At 41.8% G+C, this 25,780-nt stretch overlaps 1 protein-coding gene and 1 long non-coding RNA gene across 21 annotated transcripts in view, besides 4 other annotated features; one reads left to right on the forward strand and one right to left on the reverse strand.

Annotated features, from left to right (window-relative positions):
* The window catches only part of ANKRD44 (ankyrin repeat domain 44), a 343,767-nt gene that overhangs the window by 229,558 nt on the left and 88,429 nt on the right, over positions 1–25,780 (reverse strand). For 2 of the 20 annotated variants that reach the window (XM_047446283.1, XM_024453216.2), the window contains exon 1: positions 2,332–19,986. The exons of 17 other annotated variants lie outside the window; for them this stretch is intronic. The gene's annotated coding sequence lies outside the window, so the exon portion shown is untranslated. Of the gene's footprint in view, positions 1–2,331; positions 19,987–25,780 lie in introns of those variants that run through there. One more of the 20 variants, XM_047446282.1, reaches the window with a different exon arrangement.
* ANKRD44-AS1 (ANKRD44 antisense RNA 1) lies at positions 1,420–2,702 on the forward strand. Its single transcript, NR_135584.1, has 2 exons — positions 1,420–1,518; positions 2,347–2,702. It is a non-coding gene; the product is annotated as an ANKRD44 antisense RNA 1 (long non-coding RNA).
* Positions 2,466–2,535: an enhancer, noted in NCBI's record as "active region_16918". NCBI's record gives its function as "activates an Ori minimal core promoter by ATAC-STARR-seq in GM12878 lymphoblastoid cells {active_cell/tissue: GM12878}" and the evidence as "EXISTENCE:reporter gene assay evidence [ECO:0000049][PMID:35858748]".
* Positions 9,168–9,357: an enhancer, noted in NCBI's record as "active region_16919". NCBI's record gives its function as "activates an Ori minimal core promoter by ATAC-STARR-seq in GM12878 lymphoblastoid cells {active_cell/tissue: GM12878}" and the evidence as "EXISTENCE:reporter gene assay evidence [ECO:0000049][PMID:35858748]".
* Positions 16,221–16,460: an enhancer, noted in NCBI's record as "active region_16920". NCBI's record gives its function as "activates an Ori minimal core promoter by ATAC-STARR-seq in GM12878 lymphoblastoid cells {active_cell/tissue: GM12878}" and the evidence as "EXISTENCE:reporter gene assay evidence [ECO:0000049][PMID:35858748]".
* Positions 19,432–19,481: a silencer, noted in NCBI's record as "silent region_12208". NCBI's record gives its function as "represses an Ori minimal core promoter by ATAC-STARR-seq in GM12878 lymphoblastoid cells {active_cell/tissue: GM12878}" and the evidence as "EXISTENCE:reporter gene assay evidence [ECO:0000049][PMID:35858748]".

A 25,780-nucleotide genomic window follows, 5' to 3' on the forward strand; every position in this document is an offset into this window, starting at 1 on the left:
TCAGCATGTAGAAATGAAAGGTACTCTCAGAAAGGTGGCAATCTCCTGCTACATTTGAGGAGGCTGGAACTACTGTATACAAGATATATGGATTAACTCAGTCACATTAAATCATTCATGATTTAGGCAACTCCAGATTGGGTTTGTCTAAAATCTGTTAGCACCTGGGTTCTTTCCAAACACCAGCAAGCAATTTTTACACAATCAGGTCTTTCCAAAGCCCATGACAATTTTCCTTTAAACCCTCTCCTTCCCTTCTACTGTTCTTTTCTTTGAATTCCACGTGCATTCTTGGAAAGACAGCAAGCAGTTAAACTCTCACCACCTCTCCACAGGTGAGGGACTAGGGACATGTGTAAAACGGAGTCACCTTCCTGTTCTGGCCATTGTCAATTTTTTTTTTCCTAAGGCATCTTGTTATAGCAACCATTCTAAAATTGTTATAGCAACCATTCTAAAATTTAAGGCAGTGGGTTGATCAGGACCTGAATTAGTTTCTGCCTGAGATGACTGGAAGGTCCCCTACTCCCTCCCCAGCCAGAAAAAGTCACATGGAATGAAAATCTATTAGAGAATCCCCTCAGTGTAGTCTTTCAGGAAGCATCTTCTCATTTCCCCATCCAAAATCATGGTAAGGACATCCAGTGACAGATGTCAAAGGGAAAGGATAAGGCAGCAGGAAGAGAGAGGAGCCTAAGAGACTGGAAAACATTCGATAATATAAAATGGGAAAATGGGAAATTCTGCAAAAAAAAAGAAGTCATATCATATTTCCTTTCACAGACACCAACCCAGTGCGTAGCTCCTTTATTTCTTTACACACTACCCCCTCCAACAGGGGATAAAAGATATGTTTTCTAAAACTTAATTTGGTACATTTCAGATAACCACATTCAATTCAACAAAGATGTATTAAGCATAAGACATTTACTGAGCATAAGAAATTCAGACACTGGAGGCCGGGCGCAGTAGCTCATGCTTGTAATCCCAACACTTTGGGAGACCAAGGCAGGCGGATCACTTGAATCCAGGAGTTCCAGACCAGCCTAGACACATGGTGAAACCACATCTCCACTAAAAATGCAAAAATTAGCTGGGCACGGTGGCGCACACCTGTAGTCCCAGCGACTCGGGAGGCTGAGGTGGGAGAACCAACTGAGCCCAGGAAATTGAGGCTGCAGTGAGCCATGCTCACACCATTGCACTCCAGCCTGGGTGACAGAGTGAAATCCTGTCTCAAAAAAAAAAAAAAAAAAAAAGAAAGAAAGAAACACAGAAAAAGAAAAAGAAAGAAAGAAATTCAGACACTGGAATGTCAGAGTCAGTCTCTCCCTTGATGAGGTTACCAAGGTGTAACAGGAAGTATACAAATACGCACAGCTAGAATGTAAGGCACAGGCCGCAGGAGAAGTGCATGGAGAAGGGAGAGAAATTGTACCTGGCCTCCTGAAAGACGCAGCCTCTGAAATGAATATTGAAGACTGGGGAGGATTTAAACAGGTAGAGACGGATGGAATGGTAAGGGACTTTCCCTTCTTCATATTCAGAAGGCTGTGAGCAGAAGCTAGGGAGCCTGAACATACACAGGGAACAGTTTCATTTGGCTGGAGGAGGGGAGAAGTGAGGTAAGCTGAGTAGTAGACAGGGATCCTATCATGGAAGGTCTTGAATACCAAGCTAAGAAATTTGAGCTCTCTTCTGTGGAACTGGGGGAGCAGTGGGTGGTTTTTGAGCAGGGGAGTGACCTAAGATTTGTGCTTTAGAACAATCACTCTAAAAATGGATTGTATGATGACCTGGAGGAAAAGGCTGGAGTGTCATAACAAGTTAGGAAACTGCAATAATAGTCTGCACAAAGGGCTCTGGGGATGGAGTACCGCTCAGTTGTCAGAGGAAGCATTCTTCTGGTGGTAATATGTGAATCTAAAAGGTAAATTTGACCGGGCATGGTGGCTCACGTCTGTAATCCCAGCACTTTGGGAGGCCGAGGCAGGTGGATCACCTGAGGCCAGGAGTTTGAGACCAGCCTGGCCAACATGGTGAAACCCCGTCTCTACTAAAAATACAAAAAATTAGCCAGGCATGGTGGCGTGCCCCTGTAATCCCAGCTACTCGGGAGGCTGAAGCAGGTGAATCGCTTGAGCCCGGGAGGTGGAGGTTGCAGTGAGCTGAAATCGTGCTACTGCACTCCAGCCTGGGCGACAGCAAGACTCCATCTCGAAAAATAAAAAATAAAATAAAATAAAATAAAATGTAAATCTAGCTCCACCTTTAATGTAGCAAGGGCTAGCCTCCTCAGGAGTGGCTGCCTACATTCAAAACGATTCTCACCAACTTCTTCCACAGGACACAGGGCTCGGGAGCAGCGCCAGCCCGACATCGGCGGAGGAGCACCGGAAGTTCTGCAGCACTGGCTTTCTTTGCTCTTCCACCTATGCAAGCTCCTTCTCTCTTGTGGCTTGCCGAGCCTGGTTAGCTCTGAGACCGGAAGTTCTGAAGTCAGCTGGCATCCTACATCTGTGCAACCTACTTCTCTCCCCATCCCACCACAGAAACCAGAGCCTCGAGGCTTTTGGCTTGGGTGCTGCCTTCACAGTTTAGGTTTTGGTAAGAAGAAAGCTTATCTTCATGTCATGAGAAAGAAAAAAAAATGTATCTTTACGTAACGAGCTGAAAGAACAAAACAAGTATACCTAAGCCAAGTACATGCTATCTTTATTTCTTTATTTCCACACTGAAATTTAGTCAGGGATAAAACTTACTTTTTTAATCACACGAAGTTTGAAAAATAGGAAGTACTATGGGAAACACCTAATGCATCAAAACCCCTGTGCATTTTATCTTTGTCTTATGTTTGCTGGATTTTAATCTTAGTAGGTTTCCTGTTGCAACAATACAAAAACAGATAAAGAAAAAACTTAATAACCTTTCCTACCACAAATGTGAACAGCCCGTGTTCTTGTTGGTAGGTACAGATACAGATATATGAGATTATCGTTATTTATTATCAGAAAATGGGATTTTACTATTTCCCACACACACACTTTTTTTGAGATGGGGGTCTTGCTATATTGTCCAGGGTGGTCTCAAATTCTTGGGTTCAAGCGATCCTCCCACCCAAGTATCTGTAATCCAAGTAGTCTGGATTACAGATGCATACCACCATGCCTGGCTTATTTCCCTCTCTTACAATTTGCAAAAATAATGATGTACTGAGGACATCCCCCAGGTCGATAGCTACAGGATTAAATCATTTCTCTTAATAACTATATATAATACTATTCCATTGTATGGATATGCCATAACATATTCAATTATTCCCCTTCGAATGGGCATTTGGGTTGTTTCTAGTTTGTACCACAACAAACAAGCCTCTATCAGTGCTTATCCACATTGCACAGAGAAGTGCTACCAGAGCCAAAAGCATTTTCTGAGTACCTACAATATGCTATTTTTATGAAATATACAAAAGAAATGTGTGACATAGTCCTTTCCTAAAAGACTGCCAAATATAGTTGGGGAAATAAGCCTAACCCACACAAAACACTTAAACTGTGTAAGACAGTACTGAACCATGTTCTACAGACCTCATGCAAATGGATGCCAAGTTGTCCTTCTGCACAATGACAGATTGGAGAGGTAATCTGGAGGTGCCTTTAGCCATAATATTCTAGGAGCCTTCTTGATTCAGAAAAGGGGAAGCATGAAAGGCTAAGAAGCCAGAGTGGTGTCTCTGGAGGAGGCAGGACTTGAACAAGGCCTGAACATGGTTTAGATGGAGGAAGGAAAAAAATGTATTTTGGAATGACAAATGAGGCAGGGCACAGCACTGACTTTAGACATGTATATGCTCAGGAGAATGTCCTGAGTTACAGCATTTCTAAACACCCTCTTCTCATACTCCTCCCACCACCACCACTCGCCAGACTCTGCTTAAAGATATAAAAAATTCCCAAGCTTGGCTGCTGCAGAACATCACACTAACACTAATTTAAAATGCACTACTTCCAGACAGCACGAGCTTGAAATTACCTCCAAATCTCTTCCTTCCCTGTCCTTCTCATGCCCTATGCTACCCCCTGCCAAAACACATACAACGCTTGCTGTGCCCTTCAAACAACAGTAGTCATTTAAGCTGCTCCTGCCCATCTGGAAAATAATATGAATAACATGAAAGAAAGCAATAATGAAGTGACTGGAATTTAGCAACCAAAAAGACCTCAGTTCTTTTGATAATCAAAAACTTTGTTAAAATGTTTACATCGACAGTCACTACAGTGTTGGTCTTTCACTCTATGTTGCAATAGTATGTTTGCAACTTCTCCAAATCCATTTAAATGAAAATATTTAATAACAAGTTTTAAATTTTATCAATTGTTAAATATGATTTGAAAGTTTAGTGTATGTCCTGATATATAGTATGCCTTGAGACTGAATATAAGTAGCTCTATGGGAAAATTCTGAAAATGAATTAGGAATAAGTAGATTAATGTGCTTTTAGTCTCAAAGACTAGAGATTAAAAAGGCATGGGTAATTTTTAACTGAGAGGTGGTGCCACAGAGAAGTCTATGATTCTCTCTTTTTCATTACCCATCCCAGTTTAAAATTAGCTTGCAGCATGTTTTTTAAACATTAGGAAAACAAGATGCACTCCCAGAATGTTCATGTGAAGGGCACGTGTGAAGACATAATCTTGACAGTCATATTACAGAAAATAAGGGAGTGAGTTACTGAGTTTTTAACAAGGAGAGTAAGTTACTGAGTTTAAATAAAACCTAATTTGCTGTGTGTTTTTATTTAGCAGAATTTTGAATGCCCGTTGCCTCCGTGGCACTAGGCAACCACAAAGGCAACTGAGGTCTGAGACAAGGCATCAGGGAGATAGGATCCTTTGGCCTCCTCTGGCCCAACTGACATAACTGAGGTTGGTTCCTTTCCTGGTATCCACACTCCCCTCTCCTCACCAACAATCCCCCTGACGTTGGCTCTGAATGATGTGGAGACCCTGTTAGTGTCGTCGCATGTTAAATCTAGATTTGGGAATCTGCACTGCACACCTTATGTCAAAACTCAGAGCTGTTGTTTTTATATTTTGTTTTTGTGTTTTGTGTTTTTATTTCAGATGCAGGGGATACATGTGCAGGTTTGTTACACAGGTATACTGTGTGATGCTAAGGTTTGGGCTTCTAATGATCCCATCGCCCAAGTAGTGAACATAGTGCCCCATAGGTAGTTTTTAATCTCTTGCCCTCCTCCCATCCTGCCCCCTTTTGGGATTCACAGTGTTTACTATTCCCATCTTTGTGTCCTTGTGTACCCAATGCTCAGCTCCCACTTGTAAGAACATTCATAGCCACTGTTACCTCATCACCATGTAACATTCCAAGGGTTTAAAATGCACAATACAATCATAGTTCTTTTGAGATCATGGTTGACTGTCCTGACAAAGGAGAACTTTTAGCTGCCCCTCCTCCACCCAGGGATAGAAGTGGACTTGGTGAAAGGCAGGTGGCCTGTGACAGCAGTGGCCTGCCCAGGCACGCAGAGGCTTGCTCTCACTTTTAGAGTACTTGGTACATTTGGCACTGTGCAGCAACTTTTTGCTTCTTGAATTGTGACCAATCAAAAATGATGAAACAAGGCCATTGAAGGGAGTGGAAAGAAATTAACTGATGCGCCAGGAGTCCTGGTCTACCCTTGATCAGTAGGTGTTACATAACGGAGGGCAAGTCACAGAGCAGGCAGAAACCTCTGTTTTCTTACCAGAAAAGATAGGTCCAAAATGATCGACTCCTCCAAGAACAATAAGGGAAAAGATGAGATTTCAGATGGAAAAAAAAAAAACCCAATAAGGGGTGGTCTAGGTGACTATAATCTCACTCTGCCAGAAGAGCTAGACGACCAAGCTTGATGCACACAGCAGGGGAAGTAGCAGGACCAAGCTGCTCAGAACTGGTCAGAGTAGTGGACAATTTCGTGCAGATCTTACAGGCCTCTTTTTTGTTTTTTGTTTGTTTTAAGATAGGGTCTTGCTCTGTCCCCCAGGCTGGAGTGCAGTGGCATAACCACAGTTCACTGCAAGCTCGACCTCCCTGGGGTCAGGTGAGCCTCCCCCATCAGCCTCCCAAATAGCTGGGACTACAGGTGTGCACCACCACACCCAGCTAATTTTTCTAAAAAATTTTTGTAGAGAGGGGGTCTCGTCATGTTGGACAGGCTGGTCTTGAACTCCTGGGCTCAAGTGATCCACCCGCCTTAGCCTCCTAAAGTGCTGGGATTACAGGTGTGAGCCACCACGCCTGGCCTTTTTTTTTTTTAAGACCTAAATGGATGCAGAAGAAATTTGGCTGATGTTTTTTGGCTGGATTGCATATCAAAATCCCCTGGGAAACTAGGTCCCACCCCAATAAGCCTGAGGTAGTGTTAGGGATGCAAATCCTAGCACAAGCGCTTGCAAAGGCTCTCCAGGTGACTCATACAGCTTCAACATACATGCAGCACTGAATCTGATTCTTCATCTCAATACCTTCGAAATCCTACTCCTTTGACCCCACAGTCCCTCTTCAGGGAGGCTGTCCTATAGAAATAATGAGATATACAGACAATTTTTGTATAAAGATGTTCATAACAACACTATTTATGACAGGAAAAATTAAAAGGGAACCAATGTCAAAGCTAGGGAAATTATTGAGCAAGTTATAATATATAAACCAAAAAAGATATACAAATGGCCAAAAAGCACATGAAAAGATGCTTAACATCAGTCTTTAGAGAATATAAATCTCTAAGAACTACTTCACCATTTCTGGTGTGTGTGAGATACCATTTCACACACACTAGATGGCTAAAACAAAACAAACAAACGAAACCCAGAAAACAGTGTTGGGAAGAATGTGAAGAAATTGGAACATTGCTGATTGGAATGTATAATAGTGCAGCTGCTGTGGAATTTTATTTAGCTATTTAGCTTGGTAGTTCCTCAATAAGTTAAACATGGAATTACCATATAATTCAGAAATTCCACTGCTATGTGTATATCCCAAAGAACTGAAAATAGGTGTTGAAGCAAAAACGTGTACCTAAATGTCCACAGCAGTACTATTCACAACAGTCAAAAGGTAGAAACAACCCAAGTGTCCACCAACCGGCATCAACTGATGAATGGATAAACCAAATGTGGTACAGCCGTAGAGTAAAATATTACTCAGCCATGAAAAGGAACAGCGTATAATGATAGATGCTACAACATGGATGAACCTTGGAAACATTATGCTAAGTGCAAGAAGCCAGACACAAAAGGCCACAGGCTGTATGATTCCATTTATATGAAATAGCCACACATAGAAACAGAAAGCTGATTAGCAGTTACCAGGGATCGGGAGGGAACGGGAAGTGACTGCTTCATGGATACAGAGTTTCATTTGGGGTGGTGAAAATGTTCTGGAATTAGTAATAATGGCTGCACAACACTGTGAATGTACCTTTTAAAATGGTTAAAATGGTAAATATCATGTTAGGTGTATTTTGCCACAATAAAAAAAATTATGATACATAAAACAGAATATTTTACTTATTAAAATTGGCCTTTTGAGGGAGTTTAATGAGATGAGGAAAATGTGGAAAAAAAGCAGTCTATGAAACTATATACAGTTTGATCTCAGCTTCATAGCATATAAATATGCACAGAAAAACAAGGACTAGAAGAAAATTTATAAAAATGCTAAACAGGGTTATTGGCAGATACACTTTCTTTTTTTGTAATTTCCAAATTTTCTATAATATTATGTTTATTATTATTGTTAACTATCATTTTTGTAAACATAAAAAGAAAAATTTTCTTTAAAGATGGGACCACTGACACTTTGCATCACAGCTAGGAAAAGAAAATGAGAATAACGAAGGGTCTGGAAACATGTGACATAATGATTCAGGTAGGGGGCTAGACAAGAGCATAGAGTGGTGAAGGCTGCAACAATCTGGAGAATTTATGTCCTGTCCAAAGATAAAATTGTGGCTCCAGATCTTTTGAGTTTTCAAGAGATGCCAGAGCTCCAGACGTTTCAGTGAAATGCCCTGATTTTTAAATGTTGGCAACTTATTCAATATTTTTCAAACACCACAGGCCAAACAAAACACATCTGTGGACCGGATGTAGCCCGCAGGCTCCAGTTAGCAAATTCTAGTTTATAAGAACAGGAATGTTTAGGCTGGAAAAGAAAAACCTTTGAAGGGATATAGTACTAGTAACATCAAGTATCTGAAAAATGACTATGTGGAAGATGGTGTAGGTTAATTCATGTGTCTCTAGAAGGCAGAACCCGATCTAAAGGCTGGGTGTTATCAGAGAAGCAGAATGGGGCACAGTCTATAAGGGAGAGGTCTCTATTAGAGCAGCTGTCCAGCAAGAAACAGCTTCAAAATGCAGCGAGCTGCCCATCCCTGATGTGCTCCAGCAAAGGCTACATAACCAGGATTCCTGCTTTGGGTCAGAAGTTGGACTAGGTCAAAAGCTCCCAATTGTGGCTGCACATTAGAAACTTGAAACAAAGCATACAGACTCCTGGACCCTGTCCCAGAACCACAGAGTAAGGTCCAGGAGTGTGTATTTTTAAAAAGCATCCCCTTTGGGTATATACCCAGTAATAGTATTGCTGGGTCAAATGTTATTTCTGGTTCTAGATGATTTAGAACCACTTAATCTTTGACTGTAACACTGGAATTCTAGTATTCTGATCCATGGTTTTACCCACCTGGCCAGTAAGGAAGGGAAGGAGGGATTGAGGAAAGGAAGAACAATGTACCAGAGCTCATTATGGAGCAGGCCCTGTGCTGCTTTCCTTATGTCATCTCACTGTATTTTTCAGAACAACCTGGTGAGTTGCGAAGTGATGTCCTCCACCCCATTTCCCTGAGAAAGAAACTGGGGCTTGGGGAGTTTGGGGATGGCCCAAGGTGACTGCCAGTCACTGGGAAGATCTTTCCAGCTCCAGATCCCATGCTAGTTCAACTATGCCATATTGCCCTCTTCTTGCCCACTCAACAATCATTTCTCCAAGTGCCGATGGTGGGCCAGGCAATGCATTAGGTGGCAAGGATTCTGCAATGATCAAGATACAGTCCCAGGCTCAAGAAGCTTCGAATCTAGAGAGGAGGAAGAAAAGTAAACAGTGACATCACGGTGGAAGCAACAGGGTCATATGGGAGGGACACCCAACCCAGCCTTGTGTCATCAGGGAAGGCTTCAGAGAGGAGGTGACAGCTAAGCTGGGGAAAAGAGATTCCTAGGTGAAGGTGTAACATCTACAGAGACCCAAAGATCAGAGGGAGCCTAAGCCTACCAGGTGTGGGGAAATGTGACTAGTTCAGAGGCTGGAGTGTGGGATGCAAGGAGTGAAATTGTAAGGTGGGGCTGGCCACGCTGAGACTTTGTCACTAACCTCAGAGAAACAGGAAGCAAGTAAGACTGAACAGAAGGGGGTGACATATGCAGATGCACATTTTAGTAGCTCAGACTGGCTGCGGAGAGGAGAATGGATTGGCGGAGAGAACACAAGGGAGGCTGTGGCAGTCATTCAGCTAAGAGGGGATGACAAGCCACACAAAAGTGGTGGCACGACAGAAGATGTGCAGCATAGAGATGATGTTTTTTCACTCATTCTTTCAGTAAATAATATTACAGAGCCCTTCTTATGTGCTGGCCATTCTGCCTAGGCTGGACATACAAGCATGGGTGAAAACAAACATAGTCTCTGCTGCCGTGAAGTTCACACTGTTAGCGCTCTGCTAGGGAAAAGATGTTTAGGGAAGTAATTTCAAAAGTATTAAATAAGGCAAGGCGTAGTGGCTCGTGCCTGTAATCCCAGCACTTTGGGAGGTAGAGGTGGGCGGATCACCTGAGGTCAGGAGTTTGAGACCAGCCTGGCCAATATGGCAAAACCCATCTCTACTAAAAATACAAAAATCGGCCAGGCATGGTGGCACACGCCTGTAATCCCAGCTACTCGGGAGGCTGAGGTAGGAGAATGGCTTGAACCTGGGAGGCAGAGGTAGGAGAATGGCTTGAACCTGGGAGGCAGAGATTGCAGTGAGCCGACATGGCGCCACTACACTCCAGCCTGAGCGACAGAGCGAGACTCCTCCGTCTCAAAACAAACAAACAAAAAGCATTTTGGTTGATTATGTTATCAATAATAACATAGTAGGGAAAGGATGTACAGGACTGGCTCCTCCATCATCAATTGTCAAAGAGTCATTAAGCATAGGAGTCACATAAGATAAATCTAAAGAGTTATTGCAAGGCCAGTACTCTTTAGAATTACGTCCCTCATGTTCATACATAACAGTGTCAATCAGACTGTCTGCTCTCAGTGTATTTCATTCAAGGAAAGTAAGAAAAATTTACCTACATTTTAATTCATCATTCTTTGAAGAGAAGTGATGGATTTAAAAATCGTGATAAGATTTTAAGCTAATAAATTAGGAACATTCTCAAAAACTTACTAAATGTGGCCGTGCACTAAATTAAATTAAAACTCTTCTTGTGGCATTTGAGATTGTTGCTAGGTGCTGAAGAAGCAAGTTTGGATCTACCCCAAAATTGGCCACAGAGCAAGCAACTGGAAAATCATGGCATGGAGGGAAGGGGGCAGGTGTCTGAAAACTGTGCTATCAATTTATTCAATAACTCCATTCAGGTTGCAGTCCTAGTTCACCAATGAGGCCAGGACGTTCTTACCAGAGTCCTCATTGTTTAAATCACAGCCACAACATTCTTTTAATTCTTTTAGTCTATCCCAGTGTAATAATCACCCATGATTAAACAGCTGTGCCTGCGGATGGCACATTAAGCTGCTTCTCTTTTAGAGGTGATTTTTATTTTTTGCCACCTCTCAGATGACCCCTCTGATTTTTATCATTCTGGCATCTCAAAGGCCAGCAGAGAAAAACATATATTAGAAAATGAAAATGTTCCCTTCCCTTTCTGTTTTTCTCTTGAAACACTACTCTTAACACCAGCTCACCACTGATCTCAAATCACTGAGAAAGATCCTCTTCTCGTTTCTTCCTTTGCCATGGTGCTCTTTCATGAGATTATGATAGACCTTTCCCCAGTCCACCAGGAAAAGGGAGCACACACCCCAGATTGGTAGCACTGAGTCAAAATCTGCTTGCCCAGAAATGTTATAGAAAAAAGGAAATCATGCCCCATATGGGTTGAATAATCCCAACCTTAACATTTGGCAACTCAAAGAAAAACAGAAATGAGGAAGACACATACGAGTTCTTACAAGCCAGCCTCTAACACAACCAGCTTTTTAAAAATGTACTGGATTCCTAAAAGTAAAATTCTAAAGTCTTCCTCCCCCTTCTATAAATTGTACAGCCAGGAAAGAAGAGGCGACACCAAATGGTGACAGGGAGTTTTGTTGCTATTATTGGGCTGTTGGTTTTATCGTAGTATTACATAGTATTGATGAACTTTTAAAAAATCACTTTCCTCGAACTTTCTAAATATGTTACTGTCAATGCTCAAAGAGAGGTCTGAGATTTGTTACGTATTTTAGACATCTTCTAAGTAACTCCACAGAAGACTCTCAAAACAAAAGCGTGACCTCAACCTGCCTATAGGTGCCCTAGTGGAGAATGCTTGATACCAGGTGACAACCCCCACGCGCCCCAATAGTGCAAGAACAAAGTGGAGGCCAGAGAAGGGGCTGGTAGTTTCTTCTTAGTTCTCAGAAGGCTTATATGATGATCCACTCACCTCTCCTTCCACCTTAAGGGAAGAATGGAAGATAATAAGCAAAACTTCTAGAAAGAGCAATTAGCCCTTCAACTTCTAATATCCAGGTGGTTCAGTTCCCAGTGAGAGAGGTAAGTGGGCAATGGTAAGCTGTGCCACACACCAGGTATCTTATTTTTCAAGAATAGCTTTCTTGGCCAGAAGCAGTGTGGCTCACACCTGTAATCCCAATCCCAGCACTTTGGGAGGCCGAGGAGGGCAGATCACGAGGTCAGGAGATTGAGACCATTCTGGCTAACATGGTGAAACCCCGTCTCTACTAAAAATACAAAAAATTAGCCGAGCGTGGTGGTGGGCGCCTATAGTCCCAGCTACTCGGGAGGCTGAGGCAGGAGAATGGTGTGAACCTGGGAGGCAGAGCTTGCAGTGAGCCGAGATTGTACCACTGCACTGCAGGCTGGGCGACAGAGCGAGACTCTGTCTCAAAAAAATAAAAAATAAAAAATAAAAAAAAGAATAGCTTTCTCTTTAATGCTTTCACATGGGTTCTAATGGTAAGCTTGGAGAAGAATAACCTGAAATCCCATGTAAGTGCCCCATTTTCTCCAGGCTATTTGTCTGCCTCTCTCAGAACATAGTGTGATTCATCCATTAGGCTATCTGGAAAATAGGCATTTAGAATAAAGGCAAAGGGGATATAACAGGCAAGACTATTAGAGGTAGCTCTAAGCTTTGCTTTGTGCCGCTCAAGTGATTCATGAATGCAATTCATTTCCTTGCCTACAGTTCACATTCTCATGGCTGTTCAGAGATGAAAAGACAAGACGTTCTGAGTAGTTTCTTCGAATAGACCAAATCCTGATGCTGTTTATGAGCCTTGAGATAAAAAAACTCTGACTTCATAGCAACTCTTAATTATGTGAATGTACACCAAGAATAGGATAAATATAAAATCTATAGATAATCATGAAAAACAAGTTTTAGTTGGCATCCTGCTTCAGCCCTGCTAAATCATTTACCAGAGTAAACCTGGCTTGAAAACACTTTCAATTCCCCAACTGCTCTCAAGTGGGAGTGCAAATGAACAGAGAAATGGTGGGATGGGAGTCGGAGAAAGGCCTGACAAATATGTAGTCAGAGCTGCCACATCCATTCCTGTGCCTTTAGCAGACATCACTAATCAAGCATGATACTCTTTTCCATCTTGAATAAGCACAACCTTAGACTCTTCCTCAGCACTCAAGCAGTCCAGGCAATCATTACCAGTCAATAACAGCTGGCCCATTTGCCGTTCCAGTTTAGGAGAAATCTGGATGATCCACCAGTTATGTCATCAGTTAACTTTTAATTTCATCAAGAATTAAACATTGGTTGATTGGTCTTTCATTTAACTACTTCATTTTCCTCTAAGAACTAGGATAGTTTATGGAAATTGTCATGAAAAGCTAAAGCACATTGCTTCTAAGTTCTCTAAGATGGACAGATAAGCATGCTGTATCAGCACACAGCACAAGATTGTCTTGTGAGTCAGGGGAGCAAAGAATCAGATGAGGGTTTAGCCTAACAGGGAGTGAAGATATGACTGCGGCTAGAAGTTGAGGGCTGCTGGGGACTGGGTACTTGGAGACCTCACTTGGGGGAATATGGGCAAAGCCAGGAACCGCACAGAGACCACAGGAATCCACTCCTACTACCTAAGAGACGTCTTACAGAAATTCCTTTGAGTTAAAGTTTCCCCTGTTGAAATCACCTCTGAGTGAGTGAGGAGACTATCTTTCAGTCACACCTTAGTGGAGAATGTTTACTTAGGTTGTTTTTTCTTGACTCCTAAAAAAAGAACAGCAGCAAGAGGAAGTTGGGTGTTTCGAATGGAGACAAAGAAAGAAAACAAATGTGATTTGAGGCCTCCTAAGAAGGACTGTCTTGAATCCAATGCTGGGCTTGAGATGTGTTGAGAAGCACTTATTGAGCTACTACTGTATGGCAAGCACTTTTCATACATTATATTGCTTCCTCTTCACCCCTAACAGTGAGTTACGATTAACATCTTCCGTTTACAGATGAGAAAACCAAGGCTCAGTAATGTAAGTAACCTGACTGATGTTATAAAGCTAGTGAGGGGCTGAGGTCCCATCCAGACCAAGATTTCTCTGACGCCAAAGCTTGTTCTGTTCCCATTACACTGAGCTGGTTCCTCTGGGAAAGCATCAAAGACACACTTGGTACACTCAGAAATAAATGTTCCTTAAGGCCAATGCCTATCTGACTCTAACACCTTCTTCCAGAGATTAGGAAGGAAGCAAATTGTCCTCATGCAAGGCAGGCCTTAAGAGAGAAGGATCACCCCCACCTGTTGGAACATCTTGTCTTGGAGAGATTAGGGGGCCACGGGTTGTGGACTGGAATGGCATGTGTCATCCTCCTTCGGCTCAGATATCATTCCTCCCTTATGGAGAGAGGCAGCTTCAAAGGGGGTCAGAAACAGAAACTGAGCACAGTGAATGAGAGGCTGGAGAGGCAAATGTCCTCCTGCCACCTTTGATGGGGCAGAGGCATCCATGTGGGGCAGGATGTGCTCTGTTTGGTGGTATTGGAGAGGGGGTGTCTAGAAGCTAGTCCTGTCCTGCTCCATCAGTGGGGTTTACCTGGGGATCACACACTCCCTCATAGTATGTAGACGCCACTGTGCACCTGCATGCCGAGAAAAGGCAGCGGGCCAGGAGGACCCCCTGCCTCTTCTCTAATCATATCCCACCCACCCCTATGCCATGACCTAGGCTGCAGCTGCTCTCTAAGGACTCCTTGGTCCTGCACCCTCAATATTCTGGGAGATCACAGGAGTTGCCCTTTGGGCAGATCCAAGGACACCCAGGAGCAGCATCACCAGCACACGTGGGCAGGGAAGGCATAGTTCCTGCCACAGAAGCAGTGACACAGGGAGCAGGATACCTCCAGGGTGAGAGACAACCCAGGGATGTTGTGGGGAAATGGGGAGCAGGAAGAGATGGCAAGTAACACACACTCAGTGTTTTCTGCATATCCCAGTGAATCCTCCAACTATCCCCATTCTGCAGAAAATTTCAATAACTTAGCCAAGGAGCCAGGATCAACCAGGTACTTCCACCAAAGTACCTGTAACAGAAGACAAGAGTGAACGTCTTTCCCTACATGTCTGCCTGAAAAATACGTTTTTAACTTAACATTCACATGAATTTTACAGTCTAGTGCTGCCTTAAGATATCCATGTTCATTTCAATGGAAAAATAATGTCTTTAGTTAACTAACTTAAAAAAATTAACCATCTGTGAAATCACGCTAATCCCATGAGTACATTTCTCAGGGGTACCACCTCGAGGGGCACAAGAATCTTGGGCCAAGTCAGGGCCACACCATCCTGCTGCCCCAGGCACCATGAGATGCTCCTTCTTTTCCCAACTTGGAGGTTCCAGGTGTTCATTAGGAGATGCAGCAGGTTATAAACCATAACTCAGAGAAGAGGAATAGTGGGGGGCAGCAAGCAGGAGACGACGCAGCACAAAGAAGCCCCAAGAAAGGTGATCGACAGATCCAGACCAACAGAGCCAAAGGAACACAAGCACCTCGGGACTCCAATCACTTTGCCCTCCTCAGGTTTGTGACCAACACTCCGGTGATGAAGGGCTAGTAATCAACAGTAAGCTCATGCACGGGAATTCCCTTCACTGAGCCTCTCTCTCTCTCTCAGTCTCTCTCTCTCTCACACACACACACACACACACACCCCACAGCACCACTTTGGGGGAAGGAGAGGAGATATTGCAGAGCTAGAGTTTTGGAACTGGAACAAGGAGGGACTTTCTGGTGGATCAAAGTATGCTAGAGATCAGGCAGTACTAGAGCCAAGAGTTTGCAACCAGGCAGATAGGGATCCAGTGGGAGCACACTGGCACCAAACACGAAAGTCATCTGGCCTCTGAAACTGGCTTTTATGAGCCAGTAAGTGTGTGAGCTTAGATCATGGATAATTTTCAAAGAAACCACTTGTATCACACAGTCCCTATTCGAGAACCCAAAATGCTTCTGCACTAAATATTTGAACCCCTATGTATTTAATGGTTATCTAGTCAGTCCATTGTTGCCTAGACAAAGGCAAATTCTCAGGAATCTACCAAGACCATAAGTTTTAGAAGGGCAGGGATTCGGTCACTGTGGTCACCACTATATCCCTAACTGCTAGCACATAGTAGGCCCTCAATAAATCTCTGCTCATGATTCATTCACATTCATTCAAAATAACACATTTGTTCACCCTGCCTCTTCCACTCTCCTTTTATAGGGAGTATTAACCAAAAAGGTTATTGCAGGCTCTCACAGAAGAACTTCTACATGAGTAAAAATTCTGCATCACAGCAACTGCAGTGGTGTCATGTCAGACATGTTTTTGCTCAAAAGAATTCAGTTAACACCCACAAGGAAGGGAGGTGGACACGTACACACACAAACACACACTTCAATCAGGAACTCGGTGATCACATGCCCACGGTGAGAGAGAAAAAAGGAAACACGACCCCACAGCTTCCTCTGCATCTCATTCCAGAAAGCTTTTCACAGTGTGAACATCTCACAGAGCTGACTGGGATTCTAGTGTTTAAAGAAACATATTTTTCATACAAGTTGGCCCCTAAATGCAAGCCAACTTCTTATCTGGTGCTCAAAGAAACAGCAATGCGGCTCCAACTCTGCAGGCCAAAGTGGCTGTGTTGGCCTCCACAAGGGATAGTATACAGGCCTCCATGGTGGCACCTTCCAAAGAGATTTTCAAGAGTAATTTTGACTCTACAAGACTTCTACCTCACACATATAGGGGCTTAGCCACCCAGCGAGCTATGACCCCTCTAACACAGTCTGGTATATCACCCAAACAAGGTTAGCCTGAAGGAAGGAGAAGTTCTCAAAGGAGAGCATTATACATCTTGTTACACAAGCGGTCTATAAAGTAAGTCTGTTTAATGTAGACAATGTTATTTTTGGCATATCATCTTCCAACCAGTTTTCTGGTTTTCAAAATAATATCTACGAGGTGATTACTCCAGAGAGCCCACTTGGAATTTTTCTGATTTTTTTTCTAATTTATTTCAGCACATGTTATTTCAAGATCTCTATGAAACATATTAAACACATTTAACCTTACCTAAAATAAAACCAACTCATTAGATGATATAAAAAACATCTCATTAGCAAAGCACTGATAAATATTTTCTCTCTTCCAGCTAAGCATTGCTCATTATACACTTGAGCACTGTGCAGTCTTATCATGCCACAATTATCAGCCTCATACGCTGAGCCTAAGCATAAAACTATTATTGAGCAAATAATGGAATTGGACCTGTACACTGCTAAGCTCCTGTAGACTGGCTCATACAATCTGGCCGATTTATATAGCCAGTTTGAACCAACTGCACGTTTTCATAAACAGGCAATTCTCACACTTTTAATGATCTGATTTATTAGACCTTCTAAGTAAACAAGCTTAGAACTCTTTCTCTTTTTAAAAAGGTACATACAGCAACTTTAAGATATTATATGTGTATGTATCTTGGCAATACTACAGCACCTTTAAGAGGGTATATGTATCTTTGGGAAGATAGACTGTTTTCTAAAGCATAGTCTAGGTTTCTCTAATGCTATGTGAATTTTAGAATCACTTTAAGGCAATCAAGTCACTTTGGAGACAAAGAAAGAATAAGATGAAGGTAGCAACTGAAAAGCAACCTCAGATAAGCTATAGCTATTTTCATATTCTTTACCCCCATAATTTTTGTGGGAAATTACTATAAGGAAATGATCAGAGATGAGCACAAAGATTTATGTTCAGGGTGTATATTAGGGTGTTGGTTATTATAGAAAAAAAACCAAAAGCTTCTTAATTGTCCAATCTCAGGGACATAATAAAATATGGCACATCAAAATGATGGGATATTATGCAGCTATTAAAAATGTCATTTCAAATAATTTTTAAAGACTTGGAGAAATATTTATCATATAGCATTAAGTGACAATTTAAAAAAAACAGTAAACAAAACTATATCCAAGGCCTAGCCTAGTGTCTGGCACCTGGCAAACATGCAAAAAGAATTTTGTTGCATTAAGTAACATATACAATGAGATAGCAAGTCTATATTTTAAGTAAATATGTACATACATACATAAAGAGGAAGAGTAAGAGAAAAAAGACCAAGTCAGTAGTATTTATGTCTTAGTGATTAGATTACAAGTTATTTTCTCCTTTTTTCTTTTGCTCATCTGTATATACCACATCTTACAGTTAATACCTATCACTGATATAGTTGGGAAAGAAAAGAAATGCTATAAAAACTAAATGTGAAAACACACATTTACATGAAATTGCATTTTAAATGGAATTTTAAAAGAGTAATTAGAACACAGAAGCCTGCCAATCCCAGCAGCAACAACAGAAGCAAAGTCTTGAATTGGAAGGTCACATATGCCTGTTCCCAAATAGATGCTCCAAGGCAGGCCAAACTGGAATTCTGGGACTAGAAGAACAGCTGGATTTTTTTGTTTTTGTTTTGTTTTTTTTGAGACAGAGTCTCACTCTGTCACCCAGGCTAGAATGCAGTGGCACAATTTCCACTCACTACAACCTCTGCCTCCAGGGTTCAAGTGATTCTCATGCCTCAGCCTCCCGAGTAGCTGGGATTATACGCACACCACCATACCTGGCTAGTATTTGTATTTTTAGTAGAGACAGGGTTTTGCCATGTTGGCCAGGCTGGTCTCGAACTCCTGGCCTCACATGATCCTCCCGGCTCAGCCTCCCAAAGTGCTGGGATTACAGGAGTCAGCCACCATGCCAGGCCAGAACAGCTGTATTTTTAAAGCAAGTATATGCTTCATTTTTCACTTTGCATCAGAATCTTCTGTGTTGAGATGATGTATAAAATCTAAGCCAAATTGAACTAGTTTTAATTCATACTGTTTACTGAACAACATTAGCCCAATTTTTCAACTGAAGATTTTTCTTGCTTTTGGTAGAGAAAAGGCTATTTTGCATGTCATTGGCTAGGCTTCAGAAACCAAAGGTTTTGGCCGCATGAGGTTCTCTCAGTGCAGGGGGTTAGAAGGTACCAATGCCTCAGTGTAACATTTGAAGTGGGAGAGTGTGAGGTAGTAAATCCATGTGTTTCCAATTTTCCCATCCCTGAAACCACAGATTAGAGAAAATCTCCGCAAATAATTTTTGATGACCTCAAATGGCTTCAATTAAATGAAATCAAATCAAATATTTCTAGTTGAATACTATGTATTGTTAATAAGGATGAAATGTGTTCTTGATCGACCGAGTATCTGAAAAAAAACTATCTGGCTCTTTAAATGATATATATTTAAGCCCTGTCACTAAGTAGCCATTTAATTAAAGTAAATGTCTCAGCATAAATCCTGCTGGCACAGGGTCATGTAGGTTTAAAAATCAACCTGCAATTAGGACTTTCGGCCTAATTATGTGGCAACAAACTTAGCTAGGAGCAGTGACATATTGAGGGTCTTTAAAAGCTTTACACTTTTGTGCCAAAATTTATGATGCTGTTTCCTCCTCCTTTCCTTCTCAATTTGTATGCAACTTCACAACCTTGATTAACAGCAGCATCTGGCAGTTCTCTTCCAAGCAGCTGTGATGTAGAGGAAAGAACACAAAATTTAAAGTCAAACCAATCGGGGTTCAAGGACTTGCTCTGCCCCTTGCTGGCTCCAACTATGCCCTGGATGCCTGTCTTAGTAAAACCAAGAAGACATCACCTACCTCTTCTGGAGGCTTGTGAGGATCAAAAGAGTAACTCATGTGAAGATACTGGGTACAAAGTCGTCATTCAAAATGCAGTCTGGTATAGTTTTCAAATATTAGTGTCCTAATGTGGAAGTAATATGTAAGAATGGTGCTTCCATTCAACAGAGGAAATGAGTCATTTCACCCTAAAGGTCTCTCACTTAGGAAGAGCAGCAATATTTCCTCCATAATTCATGCTATCCAGTAATCCACAAATTTCTTTGGAGTTTCTTCTGTGAACTAATTAATACCCACCAAAGGATCAATGTCATTGCAGGGAAAATCTGTGGCTTCTTAGTCTGTCCTACCTCCCTCCATTTTAGGAGCTGTCCCTCCTAAATCCTTGTGATCCAGATGAAACTGTTCATCGAGACATTTCCCTCCGCTGTTCTCATCAGCAGGGCTGGGTGCATTATCCAGGCTGACCAGAGTGCTTTTTCAGAAATTGATTTGGATTGTGGGAGGAGAGCAAGGGTGGCCCGTTTCTAAGATACTGAGTTCAAAGTGCATGTCATCATTTCTCACTTCCCCTTCTATAACTGGAAGACAGTAGACTTTCCATTTTGCACTAACATCAGCCCACACATAACTACCTTTTCTGGACTTTTTCCAGCAGAAAAACATTTCCAACCTCACAAGCATCAGCGTCCAGGAAGCACTACTTTATGCCATGAAATCTAAGGCAGCCAGAAGGCAGGGTCTGGCTTTGTCAGCAAGCACATTGGTTAAACACACACACACACACACACACACACACACACTCCAAAAACAAAAACACACAGAAAATCACTCCTCTGGGGGAAAAGAAAAAAAAAGGACTCAGTGACCATCAAAAACGAAAAGGCAGAGCTGGCTGATCTGCAAAAGCTCCCAGACAAAATCACCAGCACTCTAAGAGGACTCTGAAGATGAAAAAGGTTTGACTATTTTCTCATCACTGTTTGCCAACTGAGTCTGGTTTTGCTGATGAAAACAGATAATTTCATTTACTTTCCACTTTTTTTTCATGGTCCAATGATCTCTCACATTACTAGGTTATCTAAATAATCACAATTGTCTCCTATTTACTGATGCATTGTGTTTTTCAATCCATCAAAACCAGTAAAGAAGCAAATAAATATCCAGGGTGTCAAATATAACATAAATGCTACCAGGATGTCATTCAAAATAGAGCCATCTTTTAAGGCTCAAAAACCATCCAGTGATTTGGATTTTCACTAAGGTTGGATAGCTCCCAAAATGGATTTTGATGGGGGAACATATCCATATTCTTTAATATGGAAAATGTTGGGATCCTCATAGCCCACCAAAATTCAAGTGATTGAACTAGAGAAAGAGCAGTATTTGCTTGAATGACATAATAGACTCTCCTGCAGAGGCAGCAAAAATAGCACATTCAATTGGGTATCTGAAAAACACTTGAAATTGTTGTATAAAACAACTGAGAAATTAAACAACAGGAAAATGTCTGGGCAACAAGTCCAGAAGAGGTGACTTTCCCCCTTTTGTGCAGAGCTATAACGGTTCTGAGCCACTCATCTGCTCTTTCTCAAGGAACACCCTTGAGATTTTTATCCTTTGAGGTAATAAAAGTATGAGAGCCTCATTTAACAACTGTGGGATCCAGGTTTTCTCATCCGTTAAATGAATGAGTTGGAAGGTATGTATTTTTGTAGGTTCTTTCCAGATCTAAAAAGTCTGTGGTTCAGCACAGAATACACAACTCTCACAGAGTTTCCAAAAACATTGGAGCAATTGGCCCCCAAGGAAAGAACATTCAGCCACAAAGCCCTTCACTCCTGTACTGAAACATTTGTTCCCTCTGCTTCCTATTGATGGATAGAATAAGATGGGCAATAGTGCTAGTATTTACATAAGAGTTTTTACTAATGAAAATCAAGATGAAAATACTAGAATAAAATAAAAGAAAAGAATAATGGTCAAGATCAGGACACCAAAACAGATGGATTCTCATTTGCCTGGGATACTTTAAGAGAGGTCTTCCTCTCCTAAAATGTCAGAGAGATGGGAAGACTATCCTGTACCTGAAAGGATAAAAAAGATATTCCAATAGAAGGAATGAAAGATGTCTACTGAGATTATTCTTCTCCAACATTTTTCCCCTTCCAAATTCCCAGGAGCAGGTGTCTCTGCCTTCTTTAAGACAGCAACTACTGATCCTCACCTACACCCCTCCATTCTCCAGGGATGTCTGAAATACCAGTGGGACTTCCTGCTATTCCCTGCTACCTTTCTGGATCTTAGCTGTACCACTCCCCTTCACCCAGTGAACATGGCATTCTGCAGCCAAAGTGAACCATTTACCTGGGTTTTCCCAGCTTCACATCTTGGCTCAAGCTCTTCTTTTAATTGCTCCCAAACCAATAACTACAGTTGAAGGGCCACTTTCTCCATAAAGCCACCCATGACACATCCTACAGCCCACTTTGTACCTCCCGCATATTTCTGCCATGGACTGATGAAAACCTGTACTTTTGGAGTTTAAGAAAGGGATGGTGAGAAATTAAATATTGACTGCCCAAGGGATAGAGAAAAAAACACAGTTGCCTGATGCCACTTTAGACTTCCTGGTATGGGAGGGTAAAGTCCCTTTTTTTTTTTTTTTTTTTTTTTTTTGAGATGGAGTCTTGCTCTGTCACCCAGGCTGGAGTACAGTGACACAATCTTGGCCCACTACAATCTCCGCCTCCTGGGTTCAAGCAATTCTCCTGCCTCAGCCTCCCAAGTAGCTGGTATTACAGGCACCCACCACCACGCCCAGCTAATTTTTGTATTTTTAGTAGAGACAGGGTTTCTCCATGTTGGCCAGGCTGATCTTGAATTCCTGACATCAGTGACCCACCTGCCTTAGCCTCCCAAAGTGCTGGGTGGGATTACAAGTGTGAGCCACCATGCCTGGCTAAAGTTCCTTTTTTTTTTTTTTTTTTGAGATGGAGTCTTGCTCTGTCGCCAGGCTGGAGTGCAGTGGTGCGATCTCAGCTCGCTGCAACCTCTGCCTCCCAGGTTCAAGCGATTCTTCTGCCTCAGCCTCCCGAGTATCTGGGACTACAGGCATATGCCACCACATCCCGCTAATTTTTGTATTTTTAGTAGAGATGGGGTTTCACCATGTTGGCCAGGATGGTCTTGATCTCCTGACCTCGTGATCTGCCCACCTCAGCCTCCTAAAGTGCTGGGATTACAGACATGAGCCACTGCGCCTGGCCCTAAAGTCACTTTTTTAAAACCATTTTCAAGTGGATAGTTCTGTGGCATTAGGCACACTAACATTGTTATATGACATCACTATTGACCACTTCCAGAACATAAAGTCGCTTTTGCTTAAACTAGTTTGGTGGGATTTCTGTTACTTGCGTCCAAAAAAAAATTCCTGACTAATAAATGCATCATATACATTAGTAAAGGTAAGAAATTCAGAAGGGCTTTGAGAGCTGTTTTAAAAATGATAAATAAAGCAAAATTTTCTGGCACCATGAAAGCAGACGGGACCCCAATGAAAGGTTCCCGAGGACAATCATGGTCTGCAAAGTGCAGGAAAAATAATTCACCAGATGGATCATGTGGTGTAAATCACTGATTTTTTTTTTAATTTTTATATTTGTAATAGGAGAACGCACCAGGATGCAAAGGAAGCTCAAATCTCACCTCCCAAGGGAAAAAGACATTCTACAGAGAAAATTAGAATTGTGCCAAGAGGGCAAATCTCCAAAGGCAGGGAGAGGCCTTAGAGAATACGAAGGAAGTAACAAGAGTGAGTGAATGCCTTCTAACAAAAATTTCCCTTTATTTTAACAAGCTATAGAAGGCTGTTCTTCATATTAACCTTACATATAAAAATAATTTATTAAAAGTTTAATTGAAGAATAATCAAGATCAATTTTTTCATGTCAGCAGAAAACTCTATGCAAATTACTTTGAAAGTAATCTAAAAAACTTACACAAGAATGAAAGTGTACAATATTTTTAAATGTAGAAACAAAGATAGCAGTCATATCCTAATCCTTTCTTTGTGGCAGGCCTTAATTCCCTCACAGCTTTTATTTCTTCTTTACCATGTATTTAAATTTGAATAACATTATATCCAATTTTCTCCAGGAAAGAAATTCCTGTCATTAATATGGATAAATATTTTATTATAAATTCTACAGTGTTATGATCCAATAAGGAGTTAGACTAGCCACTATGATGTTCTTGGTATCATAGTTGTTAGCCTAGAAAATGGGTTCTCCATATAACGGAAAGGTTTTTCTTATTTCTCTGCTTTTTTCTCCACTTATCAAAGTATTGTCATTGTGTATTTCAAGATGAGAAATATGATGTAAAGAAGGAAATGCAACAGAGAGTTGTCATAGGTAGACATTGGTCATTTGCTTGGTAGCCAGACTCAATCACAAATACTCTTTACCTTTGTGGGGAGGCTCCACAGCTAGACAATGAATGCTTCAATTAATTCCTATGTCTGGCTGATTATATTTCTGGGGGAAAAAAAATGGGTTATAAGCACACTCTCAGCTAAAGCATTTAGTTTGCCCACAGCAATCAGTCTCAGAAGGACTTTAAAATTTTAAAATGCTGACTTTAAATCAGCATTAAAACCTCTGAGACATTTAACAGCCTTTATTAAAGGGGCATTCAGGAATCTACTTTATGTTGACTCACAGGTAGGCTTAGAACTGATAATTTGCTATCCCAGTGGGTTTTTAAGATCATGTTATATAATGTCAAAGTCATTTTTACAAAAACAACTTGGAGAACATACTCTCCTAAGTTAACATTATTTGAATTATTGTAAAAATAGCTGCTAGAGGTCGGGCACAGTGGCTCACGCCTGTAATCCCAGCACTTTGGGAGGCCAAGACGGGCAGATCACCTGAGGTCAGGAGTTCGAGGTCAGCCTGGCCAATGTGGTGAAACCCCGTCTCTACTAAAAAATACAAAAACTAGCCAAGTGTGGTGGTGCACACCTGTAATCTCAGCTACTTGGGAAGCTGAGGCAGGAGAATCACTGGAACCTGGGAGGTGGAGGTTGCAGTGAGCCGAGATCATGGCACTGCACTCCAGCCTGGGTGACAAAGTGAGACTCCATCTCAAAAAAAAAAAAAATAGCTGCTAGATAAGGTAATTTTTTTTTTCAGAGACAGAGTCTTACTCTGTTGCCCAGGCTTGAGTGCAGTGGAGTGATCATAGCTAACTGTAGCCTCAAACTCCTGGACACAAGTGATCCTCCCACCTCAGCCTCCTGAGTAGCTGAGACTACAGGCACATACCACCATGCCCAGCTAATTTTTTATTTTTTTGAAGAAATGTCATCTCACTATGTTGCTTAGGCTGGAAATCTTTTTTAATGTAATATTTTAGTTACTCTTTGACTAGTAAGCCTGACCGCAGACTTCTGTCACAGCCTCTACAACACGGAATAAAGTCCTTCCTAAAGCATAACTTAGATTGCCTCAACTTTTCATCTCTTCCAGGGAAAATTCCCTAAGAATATGAATGCATTATCTTCACCACCCTCGGCCATCTTTCACTCATCCAGAAGGTCGTTGGTAATGGGACAGCATATGTTATACTGTGTCTCTTTTCACTGGAGATAACCTAAAGAAGCCCCAGAGTGTAAAGTGATAGACAGGGGAAGAAATTACATTCGATCAGCCAAAGCTGAGGACTAGAAAGCACAAAAAGTCAGAGAGGCAACCTGGAGTCACAGAAAGCACCCAGTGTTAAGGGTGGGAAGGCTGGGCTCTGGGCTCTTCCCCCTCTTGGGTCAGGCTACTTTAACATCAGAATCTCACTTCTGCCATCTATAAAATGTTCTACTGCACTCCATGGCTAAGATCTCATCCTACACCAAAATCCTAACATTAAAATGCTTCAATGACTCAAATACTCTCTTCTGTGATTCTGCTATAGCTAAGAACAGCACCTGGAGGAAAAGGAGAAATAAATAAAGGTTCAACCAAGAGACTGGTGTCCTAAGGCAGATAATGTGAGACTGTGATAACTGCCCTGTGTCCTGGGGTTGCCCACTAGGATCTGCTTTGTACTTTTATTTTTCTTTATCCCCCATGGTACCTGCTGGTGCCTTGTAAGCAGACTCAAGAAGAGGAGGAGGAGGGTAGGGAAGGAGGCTTCTAAACTTCTTGAGCCATAGCTGAAAACACAAAGGCAGGAGACAAAACAAAACTACCAA

This window comes from Homo sapiens, chromosome 2 (assembly GCF_000001405.40).
Source record: "Homo sapiens chromosome 2, GRCh38.p14 Primary Assembly".
NCBI lineage: Eukaryota > Metazoa > Chordata > Mammalia > Primates > Hominidae > Homo > Homo sapiens.